At 39.3% G+C, this 20,139-nt stretch overlaps 1 protein-coding gene across 1 annotated transcript in view; it reads left to right on the forward strand.

Annotated features, from left to right (window-relative positions):
- Positions 1 to 20,139, forward strand: part of MRC1 (mannose receptor C-type 1) — a 101,817-nt gene that overhangs the window by 39,764 nt on the left and 41,914 nt on the right. Inside the window, exons 7-12 of the mRNA NM_002438.4 lie at positions 468 to 653; positions 3,856 to 4,013; positions 7,131 to 7,241; positions 12,276 to 12,391; positions 14,423 to 14,571; positions 17,451 to 17,650. Coding sequence (NP_002429.1) covers positions 468 to 653; positions 3,856 to 4,013; positions 7,131 to 7,241; positions 12,276 to 12,391; positions 14,423 to 14,571; positions 17,451 to 17,650 — 920 coding nt within the window. The remainder of the gene's footprint in view (positions 1 to 467; positions 654 to 3,855; positions 4,014 to 7,130; positions 7,242 to 12,275; positions 12,392 to 14,422; positions 14,572 to 17,450; positions 17,651 to 20,139) is intronic.

A 20,139-nucleotide genomic window follows, 5' to 3' on the forward strand; every position in this document is an offset into this window, starting at 1 on the left:
AGTCTTGTTGTAGATATAACTTTTTAAAAAGAGATTTCCCATAGCCAAGTACAGTGGCTTATGCCCTGTAGTAGCAGCTACTTAGGAGGCTGAGGCAGGAGGACTGCTTGAGCCCAGGAGGTTGAGGCTGCAATGAGACATGATCACACCACCGCACTCTGGCCTGGGGAATAGAGGGAGACCTTGTCTCTTAAAAAAAAAAAAAAAAGAAAGAAAGAAAGTTGATAAGGTGATTTCCCATTTGATTAAAAAGTAGGTTATTTTGTTTTGTCTAAAAACCAACAAAATAGTATATGCCTTGTCTATTTTTGGTGAATATGTATGCTGCGAAAATAAAAACTAAATGTTACCTTTATTTGCCTAGTAACTATAAGCTGTTTCATGTATTATATAAAATGATTAAAATATTGTTATAGTTTTAATCAAATCTTTTAAAATTTTTTTCCGACCCCCCTTTTTGTTTCTAGAAAGTGATGTGCCTACTCACTGTCCTAGTCAGTGGTGGCCGTATGCCGGTCACTGTTACAAGATTCACAGAGATGAGAAAAAAATCCAGAGGGATGCTCTGACCACCTGCAGGAAGGAAGGCGGTGACCTCACAAGTATCCACACCATCGAGGAATTGGACTTTATTATCTCCCAGCTAGGATATGGTGAGAAACTTGACAGTGATAATATACTTGGCTTTAATCCTGGGAGCACCCCTTTCTACCCAACTCTGGAAAATTCTATCATAAACATCAAATTTAATCAATGTAAATCAATAATTCAACGAACAACGTATGAATTTAATCACAAATGCTGAAAATGCCACAATGTGAAAATTGTATAATAATTGAAAGAATTCTTATCACTGAAAGATAATTCAATTTCTTTTTCTTTTAATGTGTAATCCATTTATGGGTAGTTTTAAAACATTATTTTTTTCATGCATTATCTGGATGCAGAGCAGTCTACCTTACACTTGTGAACAATGCTTAATTCCTTGGAATTATCTGTGTGTGTGTGTGTATCTTCTTTTTTTAGGTCCATATTTTATCTCCTAAAAAAGATTTCTAAATGGACTGTTTCAGACTTTAGATTTCTTTTTTCTTTGTGAATTTAGCTGATGCTGGGAGGGTGTTGAACAGTGAAAAATATAGGAGTTTTTTTTTTTTTGAAATGGTTAGATGTCAGCCTAAACCTTTTAAAGGAATATATTTCTTGGCCAAGCTACGGTGGCTCATGCCTGTAATCCCACCACTTTGGGAGGCCAAGGTGGGAAGGATAGCTTGAGCCCAGGAGTTTGAGGCCAGTCCAGGGAACATAGCAAGACCTCGTCTCTACTAAAAAAAATTTTTTTTAAAGAAATGTATGTCTCAATTTTAGGTGCATAATTAAAAATACACAGAAAATGTACTAAGCAGAAAAAAATAGATGAATAAAATGAGCTGGGAATGCTTGTCCCGAAGATGAGCGGCTTGAGAAACAGCATAATGATAATGGGCACTCAGCAGTGCTTGTTGATTAAATGATGATCATTTTCATCTTCCACTGATGAGGCTGCTGAATAGCTGCAGCTGCTCTTCATTTCCCCCCAGCAAAACAAGAGGAAATGGATGGTGGAGATGGTGGAGACAGCTTCCTGACACATAGTGCCTGGAAACTGATTGGGGCTGGGGGAGGGGAGGAAAAAGCAACTAACAAATAGATGAGAAACAAATAGAGTAGTAGCAGAAAAAGACTTAAAAGTCCCCGAAACACTCCTACTTCTAGCACCTGCCAAATGGTATCCATCTTCCTGTGTTGACCCCATTGAGTGTCTTAGGCCACGAGAATAGCCCAGCTGCAGCCTATGAACAATTTCTTGGTTATTCTGTGTCTACTTATCCTGGAAAATTCACAATAGAAGATAATAATGGAATCAGAACTGGTATGTCTGAATAACAATTACTTAAATTTAGTGTGGCACTTATAGCCAGTAAAGTTTGCAAATGATTTAGCAGAAAACAGGTTAGTTAGGATGCTCTAGAACTGGAGTGCACATTTAACTCTACTTTGTATAACATAATGTAGTGAAAGAAAAAAACCTGATATTTTTATTGCTATAATTATTTTAGGAAATTGGATGGCCAAAGTTGCTTTGAAATTCAGCATGAGAATTAGTAAATAAATTAGAAAACCTTCCATTAAAAATTATTGATAAGATTTTATTTTAAACAATAAAATAATATTAATAAAAGTAAAGTTGTAAAGTTAAAATTATTGTTTCTAAACAAAAACCTAGAAATTTTTTTTTACATAATTGAGATGATACCTTTTGTATTAATCATGGAAGTATATTTCAAGTGGACACATTAAGACCTATACACGTAAGTTATGATTATACCAATGAATACAACTTCCCCAACTAATTGATAAAAATCAGCATGACAACTTTACACTCACATCTTATATATTTTTCTAGGATCAAGATTGTGCTTAGGAATTGAAGAAGCTATGGGGGAGAACAATTTAGTGAGAAATATGTATATAGGAAACTCTTAACTGTGGGACTTAGGAGGTTAGTTTTTCTTTGATCTTCAATTTAAATCTTTGAGGGGTACATGAGGTCACTTTGAAGCCTGCATTTGTTGCTGAAAAGATCACGATCTGCAAATCAAGTGAAAGGAGAAGAGGATCATCCTGGCAGTGTCATTCATTCTCCACGGCACTGGAAACATCTGCCAGTGCTGGCGCCAGGCCAGCTAGAGACTTCTCCAAAAGCAAAGTTGAATGACAACTTTCAGGAGGAAGAGACTAAACCGCTTAGGGAGAATCTTATACATTGTGATGTTTTCCTCATTTTCTACCACAACATCATCTTTACAATACTTTGGCAACTAATTTTATTATACCACTAAATGATCATACATCAAGCATTCATGATGGGACTCCCAGTCGTGTGAATTAGATAGATATTGATTTGTGTATTCTTTAACTTTTTTTAATTTAGACAAGTTTATTTTTTAGCCATGACATCTTAAACCTTCATTGACTTTAACTTTATCCCATTTTTGTTGTGATATTTAGGAATTTTTAGCATGGCACCTACTTATAAAATCAATAATGTTCTCCATAGAATTTCAAAACAAAATGATCATGTTTTAAATCTATATTGGTTGTTTTCGTTTTACCCTCATTTGTTATTTAAGTTTTGCTGGAATTTCCTGGCATTTCATGATGAAAATGATTACAGATTCATTTGTATATACAGCATAATAGATAGGTACCAAATGTCAGGTGCAAGTCTCACCTCTTGGTTTATAATTCTTTCACTATATAGATAATTTTCACTCCCAGTACAGTGATTGATCTTTAACGGAAGTATCTAGAATGTTCTTGATAACAAGAGTCAGTAAAATAGAAGCAGTTTAAAATTTTTGTTATTTGAAAACATTCATCAATTTAATCATAGTCAAACAGATGTATATAAATAGGCTACCATCAATAACATGAGTGCAGTTGGCATGGTAAATTATTTGCAACAATAAAAGCAGCTTCATAAGATAGAGCATAGTAATAGACCTACCTCAATTTTGTTTTTGTAACTGCCAGGAGATACAATCTACAATATTTCCACTAAAGAATACAGTCATATTCACAATGTAAAGGGTACACTACACAGCCTAAAACTAACAAGGTAAAATGTAGTTGGCATCTAAGTCGACAGCATGTAGGTCAGATGAGCACTCATGAGGACTATCTTTCATGATGGTGATCATATCAAGGGAGGTAGAGCCCTGTTGATAAAGCAGAGTGCCTTCCGTTCCTTTTACCCCCCGACCTTTGGAAAGCAACCCTTGTATATACCACTGTGTGTTTCTTCCTGTTTAGAGCCAAATGACGAATTGTGGATCGGCTTAAATGACATTAAGATTCAAATGTACTTTGAGTGGAGTGATGGGACCCCTGTAACGTTTACCAAATGGCTTCGTGGAGAACCAAGCCATGAAAACAACAGACAGGAGGATTGTGTGGTGATGAAAGGCAAGGTAAGGCCACTTGAATGACTGATATTTATAATGAAAGTCACGGGGGATTTTTCCTTCTGTCCCAGTCAGTTACATATGTTTGTTTAGATTGTTTTTATTCTACATAAATTGGCATGGATCAAAGGTGAACCAAAATTCAGATTTGATTTCTTGAATCCCTCTCAACTGTCTAGCAAAGTCAAATTTTCAAGAGGATCACTGAAGCAATGGACAGAAACTTTTGGGTCAAGGATGAAATTCGCCTGTAATGAATACTCATATTGTTTCTATGGCACTATATATGTACATGGCCATATATATAGTGCCATATTATAATGGTGTATATATATATCCACCAAAGCTCTCATCTGACCAATTAAGCCATATATATGATTATGCATGTATATATAAAAAGTTATTATAAGCCATATATATGATTACAAGAGATGTAAAAAGAGATATATATGTATGTGTGTGTGTGTGTGTGTGTGTGTGTGTATATATATATATATGTAAAAAGAGATTGTAGCCCCGTATATATGTGAGAGATATATATACACCAAGTAGATGCAGATCTACTTACAGCTACGGTGGATTAGGTCTGGAAGCTGTACTTGGGGAGCTACATTCATTTTTTTCAGTTTACATGGAGCTGTCATATGAAATGATTGCTTTTATGATTGAAATATGACCTCAGTGATTGAAAAATGTTATCAAATTTATCTTTTATTAATAGATGGTAAACACAGTGATTAAGAGGCTGAGTTTTGCTGTGTGACTGACTCCTTTATTTGCAAAATGGGAATAAGAGCTGTACTTAGCTCACCTGTGGATATGAGGTTTTTTTTTTTGTTGTTGTTGTTGTTTGTTTGTTTGTTTTTTAAGACAGAGTCTTGCTCTGTCACCCAGGCTGCAGTGCAGTGGTGCAATCTCAGCTCATTGCAGTCTTGACCTCCTGGGTTCAGGCCTCCCAAATAGCTGTGACTAAAGGTGCGTGCCACCACGCCTGGCTAATTTTTTGTATTTTTGGTACAGATGGAGTTTTGCCATGTTGCCCAAGCTAGTCTTGAACTCCTAAGCTCAAGCGATCTGCCTGCCTCAGCCTCCCAAAGTGTTGAGGTTACAGGCGTGAGCCACTGTGCCAGGCCCAGGATATGAGTATTAAATAATGCATGTGTGGTACACAGTTCCCAGCCCATATTTATTGTTCAATAATTTTTGTCATTGTGGTTGTTTATTTTTGTCACTGTGGCTGTTATTTTTGTCATTGTGGTTGTTTTTATTGTGATGGATTGAAAGTTTAAGAACATATTAGGTGTTAACTATCCAAAGAGTAGACAGAAGAAACCAGAAAGCAGCATGCTTGGAGGAGGTGAAAGGTCAGTGTGGTTGAAATCATGAAGTCAGAGCCGGAAGGGTGGGTAGGAACTGAGGTTCAAGAAACATGAGTTGTCTCGGAGGGGTAAAACCAAAGTGGCAATTTATAAATGTTACTCTGGCTAAAGGCTTACGTGTCAGATTGCACTGGGCTGAGACCAACTAGGATATGAGGAGTTAAAGACAGACAATACAGAAAACATTTTATTTATTTATTTATTTATTGAGACAGAGTTTTGCTCTTGCTGCCCAGGCTGGAGTGCAATGGCACAATCTTGGCTCAATGCAACCTCTGCCTCGAGAGTTCAAGCGATTCTCCTGCCTCAGCCTCCCGAGTAGCTGAGATTACAAGCGTGCACCACCACATCCAGCTAACTTTTTTGTATTATTAGTAGAGACAGGGTTTCACCATGTTGGCCCGGCTAGTCTTGAACTCCTGACCTCAGGTGATCCACCCGCCTTGGCCTCCCAAAGTGCTGGGATTATAGGCGTGAGCCGCCGCGCTTGGCCCAGAAAACATTTTTTTCAAGATGTTTAGCAGCGAAGGGAAGGAAAGGAGAGGTCCTTTTAACATGAAATCTCAAAGGAAAAGAGAGGGGATAGAATCTGAAATAAAGTGGAAGGTTGAGCCTCAGATCCAGGGGAGCACTCATCAGTAGAAATAGGAAGAAGGCAGAAAAGATGACTGTGGTTTCATGATGCTTTCAAGTTGGTGTGTTGGGTGCAGGAGATTTTTCTGGATGGCGTATATGAACTTGATTAATTTGAAGACAGAGCTGACTGCAGGGATTGATGAAGACGCTGCATGCGGCCGGGCCCAGTGGCTCACGCCTGTGATCCCAGCACTTTGGGAGGCCGAGGCAGGCGGATCATGAGGTCGGGAGATCGAGACCATCCTGGCTAACACGGTGAAACCCCGTCTCTACTAAAAATATAAAAAATTAGCAGGGCGTGGTGGCAGGCGCCTGTAGTCCCAGCTACTCAGGAGGCTGAGGCAGGAAAATGGTGTGAACCTGGGAGGTGGAGCTTGCAGTGAGCCAAGATCAGAGCCACTGCACTCCAGCCTGGGCAACAGAGCGAGACTCCGTCTCAAAAAAAAAAAAAAAAAAAAAAAAAAGAGGCTGCATGCAAACCTCTTGCGAGCACCGTCATCCAAGGACTTACAGACATTTTTAATTTCTCCCTGGATTCCTCTAAACAATGGCTTGGACATCTCAGATATAAAATCATATTGCGGCTCCAATCACTTTTTACATGTTTGTAGCTAGAGTCAAAATTACTGTTTACATATGAACATGTCAATTACCTTTCCTTTCAGTAGATGCCGTTTTCTCTCAATAACCTTGGATCTTAATTTTCCTCCTCTGAGGCACAGTTACAAGAAAATAACATCAAAGTCCAAAATTGGCCGGGCGCAGTGGCTCATGCCTGTAATCCCAGCACTTTGGGAGGCCAAGGTGGGTGGATCGCCTGAGGTCAGGAGTTCAAGACCAGCCTGGCCAACATGGTGAAACCCCATCTCTACTAAAAATACAAAAAATTAGCAGAGCTTGGTGGTGGGTTCCTGTAATCCTAGCTACTAGGGGGGCTGAGGCAGGAGAATCACTTGAACCTGGGAGGCAGAGGTTGCCATGAGCCAAGATCGCGCCACTGCACTCCAGCCTGGGGGACAGAGTGAGACACTGTCTCAAAAAAAAAAAAAAAAAAAAGGTCCCCAAACTGATAATCCTTTATTTTTTTCTCTCTCTCTGCTCCCTGCAGGATGGGTACTGGGCAGATCGGGGCTGTGAGTGGCCTCTTGGCTACATCTGCAAGATGAAATCACGAAGCCAAGGTCCAGAAATAGTGGAAGTCGAAAAAGGCTGCAGGAAAGTGAGTGCACCATGCCCACAGTGACTTAAGCTGAGCACGTATGAGTTGATACCGTTGGCTTTATTTTTATGTGTGAAAGTGCCTTGTTATTGCAGTAGCCAAGGGTTTCTGCTGTCTCAGTCTTCAATAGTTTATTGTTAGTGTTGATCTCACTGTTCTCCTTAAAGTTTTCTTGGGGAATTCTCTATAGTTAATACAGAGGTACACAAGGCCGGTAGCTCCTTTCAGAATGTCATGGGAATTGGAAGAGAGAGAACAGGAACTAAAAATGGCACATCAGAGGGAATCTGGCTAAGTTGAGGGCAGGCCACGGGAGAAGGTGTCATCCACCTTCTATAGTAGAAGGTGACAGTCTACTATAGTCTGTCATCCTATGGGTTGTTAAGAACATTTGCAGTAGATACCCCCAAGTTGCTGATAGCAAATGATCCTTAGTCATTTTTTTCCCATTTATAATCTTTCTGATGAGGCATCTCCTGGAGAGGATTCTTCTCAGTAGGTCACCGCAGTCGGGAGGTAGGAAATCCAGCCTCCAACTGGTACCCACGGTAACTCAGTGGTCCCTGTGAAATAGTTTTTTAAAGCACACAGAAGCTATGAAAACACAGGGTTTATGGTTATCATTTTCCTGTTTGATTGCTACATCTTCTTTTCTACTTTCTCATTTTCTTTGAATAAAAATGAAGTAGAAACTATTTTTTTCCCTAAGAGTATTATGTTGTGGTCACATAATCTTATAACACGTACCAGAAAGCTGATAATTTGGTACTATAAAAATAAACCATAAAGAAATAGAGCAGATAATGGAAAATCATAGCATGGAAGAGTCACAAAGGACCTGGGTGATTTCACAGTTCCTCTTCTAAGTTTTGAATTCTGGAAACTTCAGTTCAGAGAAGCAACGTAGCTTTCTGATAGAAACAGAGGCAAGGGTAGAACCCAGGTCTCCTGTCCCTAAACAACTATCCTTTGTTTCAGTTCCAGCATACGTTCATATTCTTTGCCTGATCATATGTTTACACAAGCTTGTATATTACTGTCATTTTCTAAAATAACAAACCTTACATTTTTATTGCTTTTAATCAATCTGTTTTATTTTTTTCTATTTTCCTACACATCTAAAATCTTGATAATAATCCTGTTTAATCATTAGGATGATAATAAAAATAAAATAATAGCAGTCCCTTATGAAGTACAATTATTGCATTCTAATAGATTTACAGGGTGAATATTATAGTCCTGATTAAAAAGAAGAGGAAACTGAAACACAAAGAGTTTAAACAACTTGACCACTTTAAAAACACCTGTTTGAGGCAGTGCTTTCCTTACCGGGCTGGGAAGACTAGGAAAGAAAAAATCCACTCATCAACAAAGGAAGATAATAATGCAATTTTTTTCTGCCTGGGCTTTGGCATACAGTGGTGTTGAGGGGTCTTTCTAAGAATTCAGAAATCACAGGCTTGTTGTTGTTGCACAGACCTGGGATTTAATTTTCAATTCAATGCTATCAGTGTGGGAAACCCTAAACCAAGAAATCAACCTAAAGTGGCCACAGGTTTCTAATAGTCCAGGATTCCTGACATATATAAATGTAAATCCTCATTATAAAGAAGTCTCATTATTCAAGCTGTGGCAACCCCACAGGTGAGACTGAAACCCCAAATTATAAGATATACCACCAGGATCTTCATATGGGGAAAATTTATAGATATGACATTAAAATAAAATGTGTTTTAAAATGTTTACAGAAAAAGACAGAAATGAAACCATTCATCAGCCACCAAATTGTCTGAGAATGTCTTAAATTCATCCTCACCCTGAATAATAGTTTAGCTAGGTCAGTTTAGAATTCTGGATTGATGGTTGTTTTCTGACAGCGGTTTATATATTATTTTATTATACTTTCTCGTGGCCTTATTTTTGGTACTGGAATTCCTGCTGTCACACTAATTCTTCTTCAGTTTTGAAGTGGATATGCTGGTGGTTCTCTCTGATTGATTTTAAAATCTTCTCCTTGTCTTTGGCATTCTGCAGTGCCTGGGTGAATGCCGAGTACCTAGTGGAATGCTGCAGTGTAGCATTCTACTACATGTGCCTAGATCTGGAATTATTTTATTTGTTGACTTTGCTCCCTGGTGTGATTCTTTTTTTTTGAAATGAAGTCTTGCTCTGTTGCCCAGGCTGGAGTGCAGTGGCATGATATTAGCTCACTGCAACCTCCGCCTCCCGGGCTCAAGTAATTCTTCTGCTTCAGCCTCCTGAGTAGCTGGGACTATAGGCACAAGCTACCATGCCTGGCTAATTTTTGTATTTTTGGTAGAGATGGAGTTTTACCATATTGGCCAGGCTGATCTTGAACTCCTGACCTCATGATCCATCCGCCTTGGCCTCCCAAAGTGCTGGGATTACAGGCATGAGCCATTGTGCCAGGCATGAGCCATCACAGGCATGAGCCATCGTGCCAGGCCCAGAGTGATTCTTTGAGGTTTCACAGCCATCTTTCAGTTCTTGAAAGTGACCCATCATTAGTTTTATTCGCTGCTTCTGAAACTTCTGAAACTTATTATAGGCGGTTGTTCAACCTTCTCATTCTATTGTCTATGCTTTCTGTCAACATGTTTTTTAACCTCTTTTCGTATCTTCATCTCTTCCTATGCTATCTTTTCTGTCTTGCTTTTTATCTTTTCATCCAATTGACTAATTTCCTATGAAACCCTGATTACTATATTTAATCTGACCATTGAGTTTTTAACTTCATTGCTATGGTTTTCTTTTATAGACATTCCGTACTTTGGGGTTCACATCCTCCTTTTCTTTGTGCATACTATTTTGATCTTTTGTTATTGGATTTATTCTTTTGTTACCAAGTCATCTCAAACATGCTGTTTTTTTAATAAGAGCTTTCTGTTTTATTATGTTCAGTTGTTGACTCTTCCTTAAAATGGGACATTTTCTCATATGGCTTGTTGTTGTTGTTGTTTTTGAGAAGGAGTCTTGCTATGTTGCCCAGGCTGGCATGCAGTGGCATGATCTCGGCTCAGCGCAACCTCTACCACATGGGTTCACACAATTCTCCTGCTTCAGCCTCCCAAGTAGCTGGGACTACAGGTGCCTGCCGTCACGCCCAGCTAATTTTTGCATTTTCAGTCAAGACGGGGTTTCACCACGTTGGTCAAGGTGGTCTTGAACTCCTGACCTCAAGTGACCCACCTGCTTCGTCCTTCCAAAGTGTTGGGGTTACAGGTGGGAGCCACTGCGCCTGGCTGGTTTATTGCTTTTGGTTGTGATTTAGTGACCTCTCCATCCCCACCCATCTCCCCAAATGTCACAGTCTCTCTTGACCTGGTTGGTGGGCGTATTTCTGATGTGTGGTTTTGCATTCTACTTCTTGGAGTGCTTTAGAGATTCTCCTTTTACAGATTAAGTATGACTTTAATTTTTTGGCTGTGGGTTCCCATACAATGTGGATAGCATAAACTTGGAACTGTCACTCATCTGCAGCACAAACTTGGTATTTGTTTTCAAACTCAGGAATTGTTTTTTTCCGGTACTCAGAACCCCAGGTAGATGACAAGACACTGTCATTTCCTGCTTCTGTGGGCAGAATGTTCTAGTTCTCCTTTAACCAAGGGGTTACCGGGGTTACTGGTATCATTTTTATACAAGGACCTCGGTTCCAACTCCCTGCCTCAAGTGAGACAAAGGCCAAATACCATATTCTGTATGGACATTAATACCACAGCCTTTAGGATCTTAATCTAGGATCTCATATGTCCTTGGCCAACAACAATTTAATTTGTGCATTTTCCATTCAGCTTTTAGTATTCTACTAAATTCGGGTACCTGGAGTTTTCCCCCTTCTTCTTCTCAAACTCTAGCATGGATTTTTCATTTATTGTTATGTTTTTATTTAGCATTTCTGTTTTTTTTTTTTTCTGAGACAGAGTCTCACTTTGTCACTCAGGCTCGAGTGTAGTGGTGTGATTGATCATGGCTCACTGTAGCCTCCACCTCCTTGGCTCAGTCAATCCTCCTGCCTCAGCCTCCCGAGTAGCTGGGACTACAGGCACATGCCATCATGCCTAGCTAATTTTATAAAATTTTCTGTAAAGATAGGGACTCACTATGTTGCCCAGGCTGGTCTTGAACTCCTGGGCTCAAGTCATCCTCCCAACTTCGACTCCCAAAGTGCTGGCGTTACAGGCATATGCCACTGTGCCTGGCCATTTCTGTGTATTTGGAGTATGGGAGAAGGAGGAACAATGCTGAATCATACTGCCTGAAGTTTGAAAAGTGCTCTCCTATGACCAAATGATGTAGCTTTATACCCACCTTCTAGTATTGTCTTCCATAGGCAACTAGGTTTGCTCTTCCCCAAATTCTTTCCTGTGGTTACCTATTCTAAAACTGGTATCTTAGCCGTTCTGTTCAGTTTCCTCAGTAAACGTTTCACAAATAGTTTTCGTTGCAAGATACATTATAAGTGGAGAGAATGGCTGCCCCCATTTATTTGCATATTTGTCATAGGAGGAATGATGTACTACTGTTTCTTTTATTCGTTTATGTGTATAATTTTCATTGCATTTCAGATTCTTCAGAGTTGTGTTCTTTAGACATTCCTATTGTTTATCCAATAGTTTCATGATAGAAAAAGTATTAAAATATTATTTTCTAAGGCTGGGCACAGTGGCTCACGCCTATAATCCCAGCACTTTGGGAGGCCAAGGCGGGTAGATCACTTGAGGTCAGGAGTTTGAGACCAGCCTGGCCAGCATGGTGAAACCCCATCTCTACTAAAAAGACAGAAAAATTTGGCCGGGTGTGGTGGCACGTGCCTGTAATTCCAGCTACTCTGGAGACTGAGGCAGGAGAATTGCTTGAACCTGGCAGGCGGAGGTTGCAGTGAGCCAAGATTGCGCCATTGTACTCCAGCCTGGGCGACAAGAGCAAAACTGCATCTCAAATAATAATAATATTTTATAATATATATGCATGAACTCTGCTCATTTATTCACTGCTTGATAACATTAATAGGGCTGGAAAAAACATCACTTTTACTGCTATATGATTGGACATACGCTTTCAACATTTGCAGAAGCAAACCAAACCTGTAATAATGAGAATGCTTATTTAACAACTATTGAAGACAGGTATGTAACTATTTTAATTTCATTTTAAAATATGTCAAATAGAAAAAAGTTTCAGAAAAGCCCAAGTATCAACATGCTCTAAATTTCTGAGTATGTGTGATCTTGAGGTATGATTTGTAAAGATAGAAGCATTAAAAATAATATTCTTATTTGGATTCTTCATTGCAAACATTACAAACCGTTTTTGCTAAATTTAGTAGTATAAAGCAACATTCAGAACAGTTTATAAATAATAATCTAGTAAATGTAGTTTATGGAGCTAACTTTTTAATGATCCATTCGACGTTGAATTTTTTAAAGCAGGAAAGTAACTAAAAGTTGCCGGCTCAAAATCACGTTATATCTTTACCACTCTCTCCACCAAAAAAGAAGGCAAAGAAGTTTACTGAATAATTCATTCATTCTTTCCAGTCTTCCATTCTTTGCTTTGCTTTGCTATGTTAACAGACTCATAGGTCAGGAAAATCACATGGACATAGAGGAGCTTATGTAATTTTTTATCTCTAGGGTCCTATCTATTTTTAAGATTTATTCGTTTACTTTTCACCTACTCTATGCAAAGCTCTGGATTAGCCACAGAAGAAAGTTTACAAAAATGGAAAAGTATCTATTTCACTTGCAGTAAAGAAGTAACAAAATTATGGAGTTTTAGTACAATAAGTTATATTTACTGGACTTTCGAGGCAGACCGAATAAAATGTAAGGGATACTGTTGATATTAAAAAATCTTTGGATAAAAATGAGAGATGTCATAACATTTCATAGTCTTTATAAAAGAACTGTATTTCTATCCACATGCTGCTTTCATATATATTTAAATGTCTAATATATGGTAGTAGCACCCTAATACAATGCTAACATCTGAAACTCAGAACGTAGGTACTTTTTATCTTCTGTGAGGGAGGTAAACTGCTCACCTTTAAGTACCATGAGATCATATTCTGGTCTGCACTATAATTGATCTTTTGGTCTATTGGACATTTGTGCATCTACATTTGGACATTTGTACATCCAGATGTGCATGATTTCACTATATTTTATATTTATTTTTCCTTGTGTATCTTCTGTAATATTTATACTCAGGAGTTCACTAACTGTTGTTAAATATGGTTTAGAGACATTTAAGGCAACTAAATCGAGTTTGGAACTTTTAATTTTTTTGGTTTGTTTTGTTTAGGGAATGAAATTATTTAGACTATGGTCAAATAAAATGTTGTATTGCTGTTAGGTTTCTCTATATTCTCTTCCTGCTCTCTCTGAAGTCATCTACAACTCTCTCCGTTTCTGGAAACTTCGGACACCATTTTTCTTTTTCTCAAAAGACAGACTTTTTCCTATGTTGCTGCTTCCATTGTTTTATTTGTCATTTTAGACAAGTTTTCAGTGCCTTGTCAACTGAATTTTATTGTTCCCAGATTAATGCCAAATAGACAAGAATCCTAAGGGAGAGAAAGTGTTGGAATTCATGATTCTGCTTCTCATTCATTCTGGAGATTGAGTCTCTGCTTCTCTGTATTTCTTGATAATTTTCTCTTTTGTTTCAGAGCTGAAATATGAGAGAATAAAATTGAGGGGGGAAATTCATGCAGATTATTCCATGAGTATTATCCTTGATAATGTTATTAACCTTGAACTTGCTTAACCAAGAATTGAGTAGAACTATTTGAAGAGTGGACTGATTTTTTAAAACATTGTATTTTAAAATGCATTAGTTTTCTTCTTTGTATTCTCAAAATTCTCTGACATTTTGAGAATAGGCAGAGGGGCTGGTGAGGGCTAGAGGGAGATGGTTTGAGTATCTCCGAATGATTTTATATACTCAGCTATATGGTATTTTTCCATCATAAGCTCACATTTCCTTGGTGACAATGTGTATAATGTAGATGACATACAAATATAACACAATATATTTGAATTACCAGTTCAGTTATAGCTCAAACATAGGACTGAGATAGTTTCCACGTTGATAATTTTGAAAATTGGCATAAATGTTTCAAAAACTTAATTGAATGTTAATTCTTCTTTTTAAAGATATGAACAAGCCTTCCTGACTAGTTTCGTTGGCTTAAGGCCTGAAAAATATTTCTGGACAGGACTTTCAGATATACAAACCAAAGGGACTTTTCAGTGGACCATCGAGGAAGAGGTTCGGTTCACCCACTGGAATTCAGATATGCCAGGTACGGGCAGCGCTTAGGTTGAGGGTTGCTTTCACCCTACGAATCTGTTAGATAAAGTCTGTTATTCCTCCGGGTATCTCTGCAAATAGACTAGGTAAATTAGTCATGCTTTTAGTAACAATTTATATTTCATTCTCTTTTCGTTTTTTCTTTTCTTCCTTTTTTTCTTTTCTAAAAGTTTCCCAATAGGTTTAGTGTTCTAAAGAAAAAAGGAAGAAAAAAATTGCTAGGTTATATTGCTGGGTTATCTGGTCCTGGTCTACTTAAAACCTATTCATGAAATTCTCAGTGGTCGCAAAGGTTTCAAATGGTTGACTCTTTCTTTCTTTCTTTTTTTTGAGACAGAGCCTCACTCGGTTGCCCAGGCTGGAGTGCAGTGGCGCCATCTTGGCTCACTGCAACCTCAACCTTCTGGGTTCAAACAATTATCGTGCCTCAGCCTCCTGAGTAGCTGGGACCACAGGCATGTACCAGCACGCCTGGTTAATTTTTGTGTTTTTAGTAGAGATGGGGTTTCACCATGTTGGCCAGGCTGGTCTCGAACTCCTCGCCTCAAGTGATCTGCCTGCCTTGGCCTCCCAAAGTGCCGGGGTTACAGGCATGAGCCACTGCGCATGTCCTGTTTGACTTATTTCTGAAAACCTAAAACTATATTAAATGGACATAAAGCTTTTCAGTGCAATTAGGAGTTGAAATATTAGAGTGGTTGGGTGGGGCAGCAAAGGACATTGCTCATGCGGAACTCATTATTTCCATATCTTCCATGTGCTACCATGTTTAGTCTTTTATTTGCCTTGGATTTTATTTTGTCATCATAAAAACCTTGCCAGGTAAGCTTCAGTATCTTCATTTAAAAGAAGTGGAGGTCGGCCGCGGTGGCTCATGCCTGTAATCTCAACACTTTGGGAGGCAGAGGCGGGCAGATCACCTGAGGTCAGTAGTTCGAGACTAGCCTGGCCAACATAGGGAAACCCCATCTCTACTAAAAATACAAAAATTAGCCAAGTGCAGTGGTGCGTGCCTGTCATCCCAGCTACTTGGGAGGCTGAGGCAGGAGAATTGCTTGAACCTGGAAGGCAGAGGTTGCAGTGAGTCGAGATTGTGCCATTGCACTCCAGCCTGGGTGACAAGAACAAAACTCCATCAAAAAAAAAAAAAAAAAAAAAAGCAGTGGAAACTGAGACTCAGGAAGTTTATGTGACTAGAAAGCTTCCAAGCATGGATTTAGACTAATCTGTGTCATCCCCAAATCTGTGCTACTTACACTCGCACCACCCTGCCTGCCTCTCTATATATTTTGATTTACCCTCCCTAGTAAGATGTTGTAAGTTGTTTCTGAAATAGTCTCGGAAAGATTCTTTGACTTTTTATACAGTGATATCACTAGCACACAACATTGTTTAATATGACAACACACAGAGAAATTTCAACATCCCTTATAGCAAATATTTCATTGTGCTTGGGTGAAAAGCTAAAAAATAATAGCTCGAGTCTATCAATTTACTACCTGACCTAATATGTCCTAATCTTCAGTGTTCTGTAATTTGCATTCTCACCTTTCAATAAGGGAAATAGATCAGTAACCTAAATAGTGTGATTTTTGTTTATGGAATTATTGAACTTTCTGAAACATAGCAAGATTTCAGTTGATTTAAAAAGTAACAGGATGGTGTAATAAAAGCTGAGTGCATACTTTAAAAACACATCTTGGCAGTAGTGATAAGTCTTACTCTGTAAGTGAAGCTGCTGAACTTTGCCTGTGGTGTCATCCAGCAGCAGGATTCTGAGGAGTTAACCCTGGAATGTCCTTAGGGACTAACAATGGATGGAAGTGGAACAGAACTCAGTTGCAACCATTGTCATGGTATATCCTTGATGGAAGGACGGTGGCTGCCCTCTTTGGCTGAGTTTACAGCTGCAGGAGGAGTGGGCAAGGAGCCTGGGGCTCGGGCCTGAGCATCAGGTCAACTGAATTGATTCTGATGGTTAATGGGATGCCGCAGCCTCTGTAGTCATCTATTCCACAGTTAGCAGGTTTTAACTCAGTGCTACAAAGAGAAGGAGACAATCTTAGGAATCAGGGAAAACCCTTGAGGTGTCAGGGAATCAGAGATTTCAGAGAAAATATTCTAAAAAAGGTGTACCTCCCCAGAACTTCATGAATGACTTCTAAGCACTTCATGTTCTTTAAAAGTCTAATAATAAAAAAATTACTTCATTGTAGCAGCAAAGAATCCTGATACTTCCAAAGCTCTATCTTAGTTAATTGCTATTTGGAAATAACCTTGACTGTAAGACAGAATTATAAATTAAGCTCAGTGCATCCTCATTTTATTTTATGTACTTCTTTGTTCGTTAAAGCTGGCATTCCTTACAGTTCTATGAGGCAGGTCTTGGTATTTGCATTTGGAGAGGAGAAAGCAAGTTCAGAGCGTTTGAGTAACTTACCTAAAATCTCTAGTTGAGACGTGTCTCATTTTGAAATCTGTGAAAAACTTTGGTCCTGGAAAACCTACGTAGACCTTAGTGGGAGGAAAAGAATCTTAAAAAATTAAAAAAGAAAGAAAGCAGAGAAAACCAGAAAGGGGAGGAAGGGAAGAAGGAAGGAAAAAGGGAAGGAAGGAGGGAGGGAGAGAGAAGCAGTAAACTATTTTTGCCATTATGGTGAATTTGATAATATAAAATATTTTATCATTAAATGCCTGTGTAGGGGGCACTTTGCCAAATGTTAGAAATATAAAGTGTTACAAACCCCCCTGCATCTGAGATCATAATTGGGCATCAGAACCCTGATGCTCGGTTCTGAGTGCCTTCTGTGAGCACGGCAGGCCTTCAGCAGGCACCTGTCAAGTGAATTCTACTTCATATATTTAATGCAGGGCGAAAGCCAGGGTGTGTTGCCATGAGAACCGGGATTGCAGGGGGCTTATGGGATGTTTTGAAATGTGATGAAAAGGCAAAATTTGTGTGCAAGCACTGGGCAGAAGGAGTAACCCACCCACCGAAGCCCACGACGACTCCCGAACCCAAATGTCCGGAGGATTGGGGCGCCAGCAGTAGAACAAGCTTGTGTTTCAAGGTGAGTATCAGTTATAAAGCTGGTAAGAGAATCTGGAGTATGCTTCAGCCTAAAGAATCATCTAAGGACATAGAAAACAAACAAAAACCAAAACACTCTGCCCAGACTCTACCATAGGTATTTAGAAATTCTGATTTGATTAACCCGGGGATCAATTGTTTAAGAGCTCCTTGGGTAGATGTATTTAGACCCACAAATACAACCAACAACATAAACACAACTCACAGAAGTTTTTTCTCACCTGCTCTGCCGCTATCACCTCCTCTCTGCTTCTCTCCTTTCTCCCAGGCCTTCTAGATCTGCCTCCCTCCATTCCCCCCTTGCCCTCTTCCTCCTTCCCTTCCTTACCCCCTTACCCTCCCTTCCTCCCTTCCTCCTTTCCTCCCTCCCTTCCTCTGTTCCTTCCTTCCTCCTTTCCATCTTTTCTCCCTTCCTCCTGTCTTCCCTCCCTCCTCCTTCCTCCATCCTCCCTCCTCTCTCCCCCTTCCCCCTTTCCCCTTCCTCCTCCTCCTCTTCTTCTTCCTTCTTTCTTCGTTCCTTCTTCCTTCTTCCTCCTTCCTTCTTCTTCTTCTTCCTCCTCCTCCTCTTCTTCTTCTCCTTCTCCTTCTTCTTCTTCTTCTTCTTCTCCTTCTTCTCCTTCTTCTTCTTCTTTTCTCTCTCTCTCCTTCTCTTTCTTTCTCCAGTGGGGTCGTGCTCTGTCATCTAGGCTGGAATACAGTAATACAGTCATGGCTCACTGCAGCCTCAAACATCTGGGCTCAAGTGCTCCTCCCACCTAAGCCTCCCAAGTAGCTACAGATATGCACCACCATGCCTAGCTAATTTTTAAAATCTTATTTTATGTAAAGATGGGGTCTCACTATGTTGCCCAGGCTAGTCTCAAACTCCTCGTGTCAATTGATCCTCCCACATAGACTCCAAAAGCTCTGGAATTATAGGCATGAGCCAGTGCACCCAGCCTCTTTTCGTCTTGATAGAAATTTCTGTTTCCTGTCACGCTGTTGTATTCCAATTCATTTTTTTCCCATGCTCTTAGAGCCCAAGTTTTAGCTAACAAAATTGATAAAGTATTCTACAGTAATGCCACATAAGTATTCTAAAGAGAGTCCTCCCTTTTTCTGATGTAACCCCGATGATTATAATGATGGGTGAGGAAAGGAAATGATAGGTTGGGGCACATGGCTTTTCAGTGCCCATTAAATGACAATTCAATATTCTACCACTATTTAATACATTCATAGTTTAGGCCATTCATTTTCTCCTTATGCAATCAAATTCACTGAAGCAAACAAACAGACAAAAAAAGAAACCCAGAAAATAACAAACAAAAACCCCAATGAATTAAGGATTATGGTCTTTTACACTCTCTCTTTTATAAGTCACATCCTTTCTGGAGAAAATTAGCCTTAGCCAAATACAGAAATGTACCTACTGTGTTAGTCTGTTCTCACACTGCTATAAAGTTACTACCCAAGACTGGGTAATTTAAAAAGGAAAGAGGTTGAATTGTCTCCCAGCTCCACATGGCTGGGGAGGCCTCAGGAAATTACAATCATGGTGGAAGGGGAAGCAGGCACCTTGTTCACAAGGTGGCAGGACAGAGAAGAGCATTTGAGAGTGTAGGAGAAGCTACCACTTATAAAACCATCAGATCTTCTGAGAACTCATTCACAAGAACAGCATGGGGGAAACTGCCTTCATGCTCCAATCACTTCCCTCCCTCAATGTGGGGATTACAGGTCCCTCCTTCAACATGTGGGGATTACAATTTGAGATGAGATTTGGGTGGGGACACAGAGTCAAACCCTGTTACCTACCTACTGCTTAATGATACTGTTTTCTAATAGTCCTGCTCTCTGTACTTCTTTTATTCAATCTCTTTGAATGGCATATGGCCATGACATGCCCTGTAAGACAGTTTGGCAAGACTGGTGAGGAATTTGCATCAGGATGACGCTGTGCAGTCTCTTCTAACTCAAGAGGAGTATGGATAATTGAGCTGGTCACTCCCACTAATAGAAATAGGAATACAGGAAGTCTTCAATCCAGATTGGCCATCAGATCTAATAACATAATTTACATAGAAGGCGATGTATTGGGCTAAGACAGAAGAGGTTTGTAAATGGATTATTTGAGGACTAACACAAAGAAAATCAAGTATTTTATTGTTACCTCTGGAAACTTTTGAGTTACTACACAAAGGCCAGATTCATCTTATTCCTAGCCTTCGCCTGAGGATGTTAGGCGATGGAGATTTATTGCAGTTTTCTGAGAGAATCAGCAGTTTTACCCAGAGCAGAGAAGGGTATCAGGGGCTTCAGTAGGGAGAATTTTCGGGTGGATGTTCAACAAATCAAAATATGTGCTTGACTAGAAATTAGGTGGTTTTACAGGTACTTGGGGTAGGGTTTGTTTGGAAATATATAGACCACCTTTATAAAGATTAAGATGTGAGATTTATTAATGAAATTCAGCTGATAGTAAATTTA

The sequence above is a fragment of the Homo sapiens genome, chromosome 10 (genome assembly GCF_000001405.40).
Source record: "Homo sapiens chromosome 10, GRCh38.p14 Primary Assembly".
NCBI classification, from domain to species: domain Eukaryota; kingdom Metazoa; phylum Chordata; class Mammalia; order Primates; family Hominidae; genus Homo; species Homo sapiens.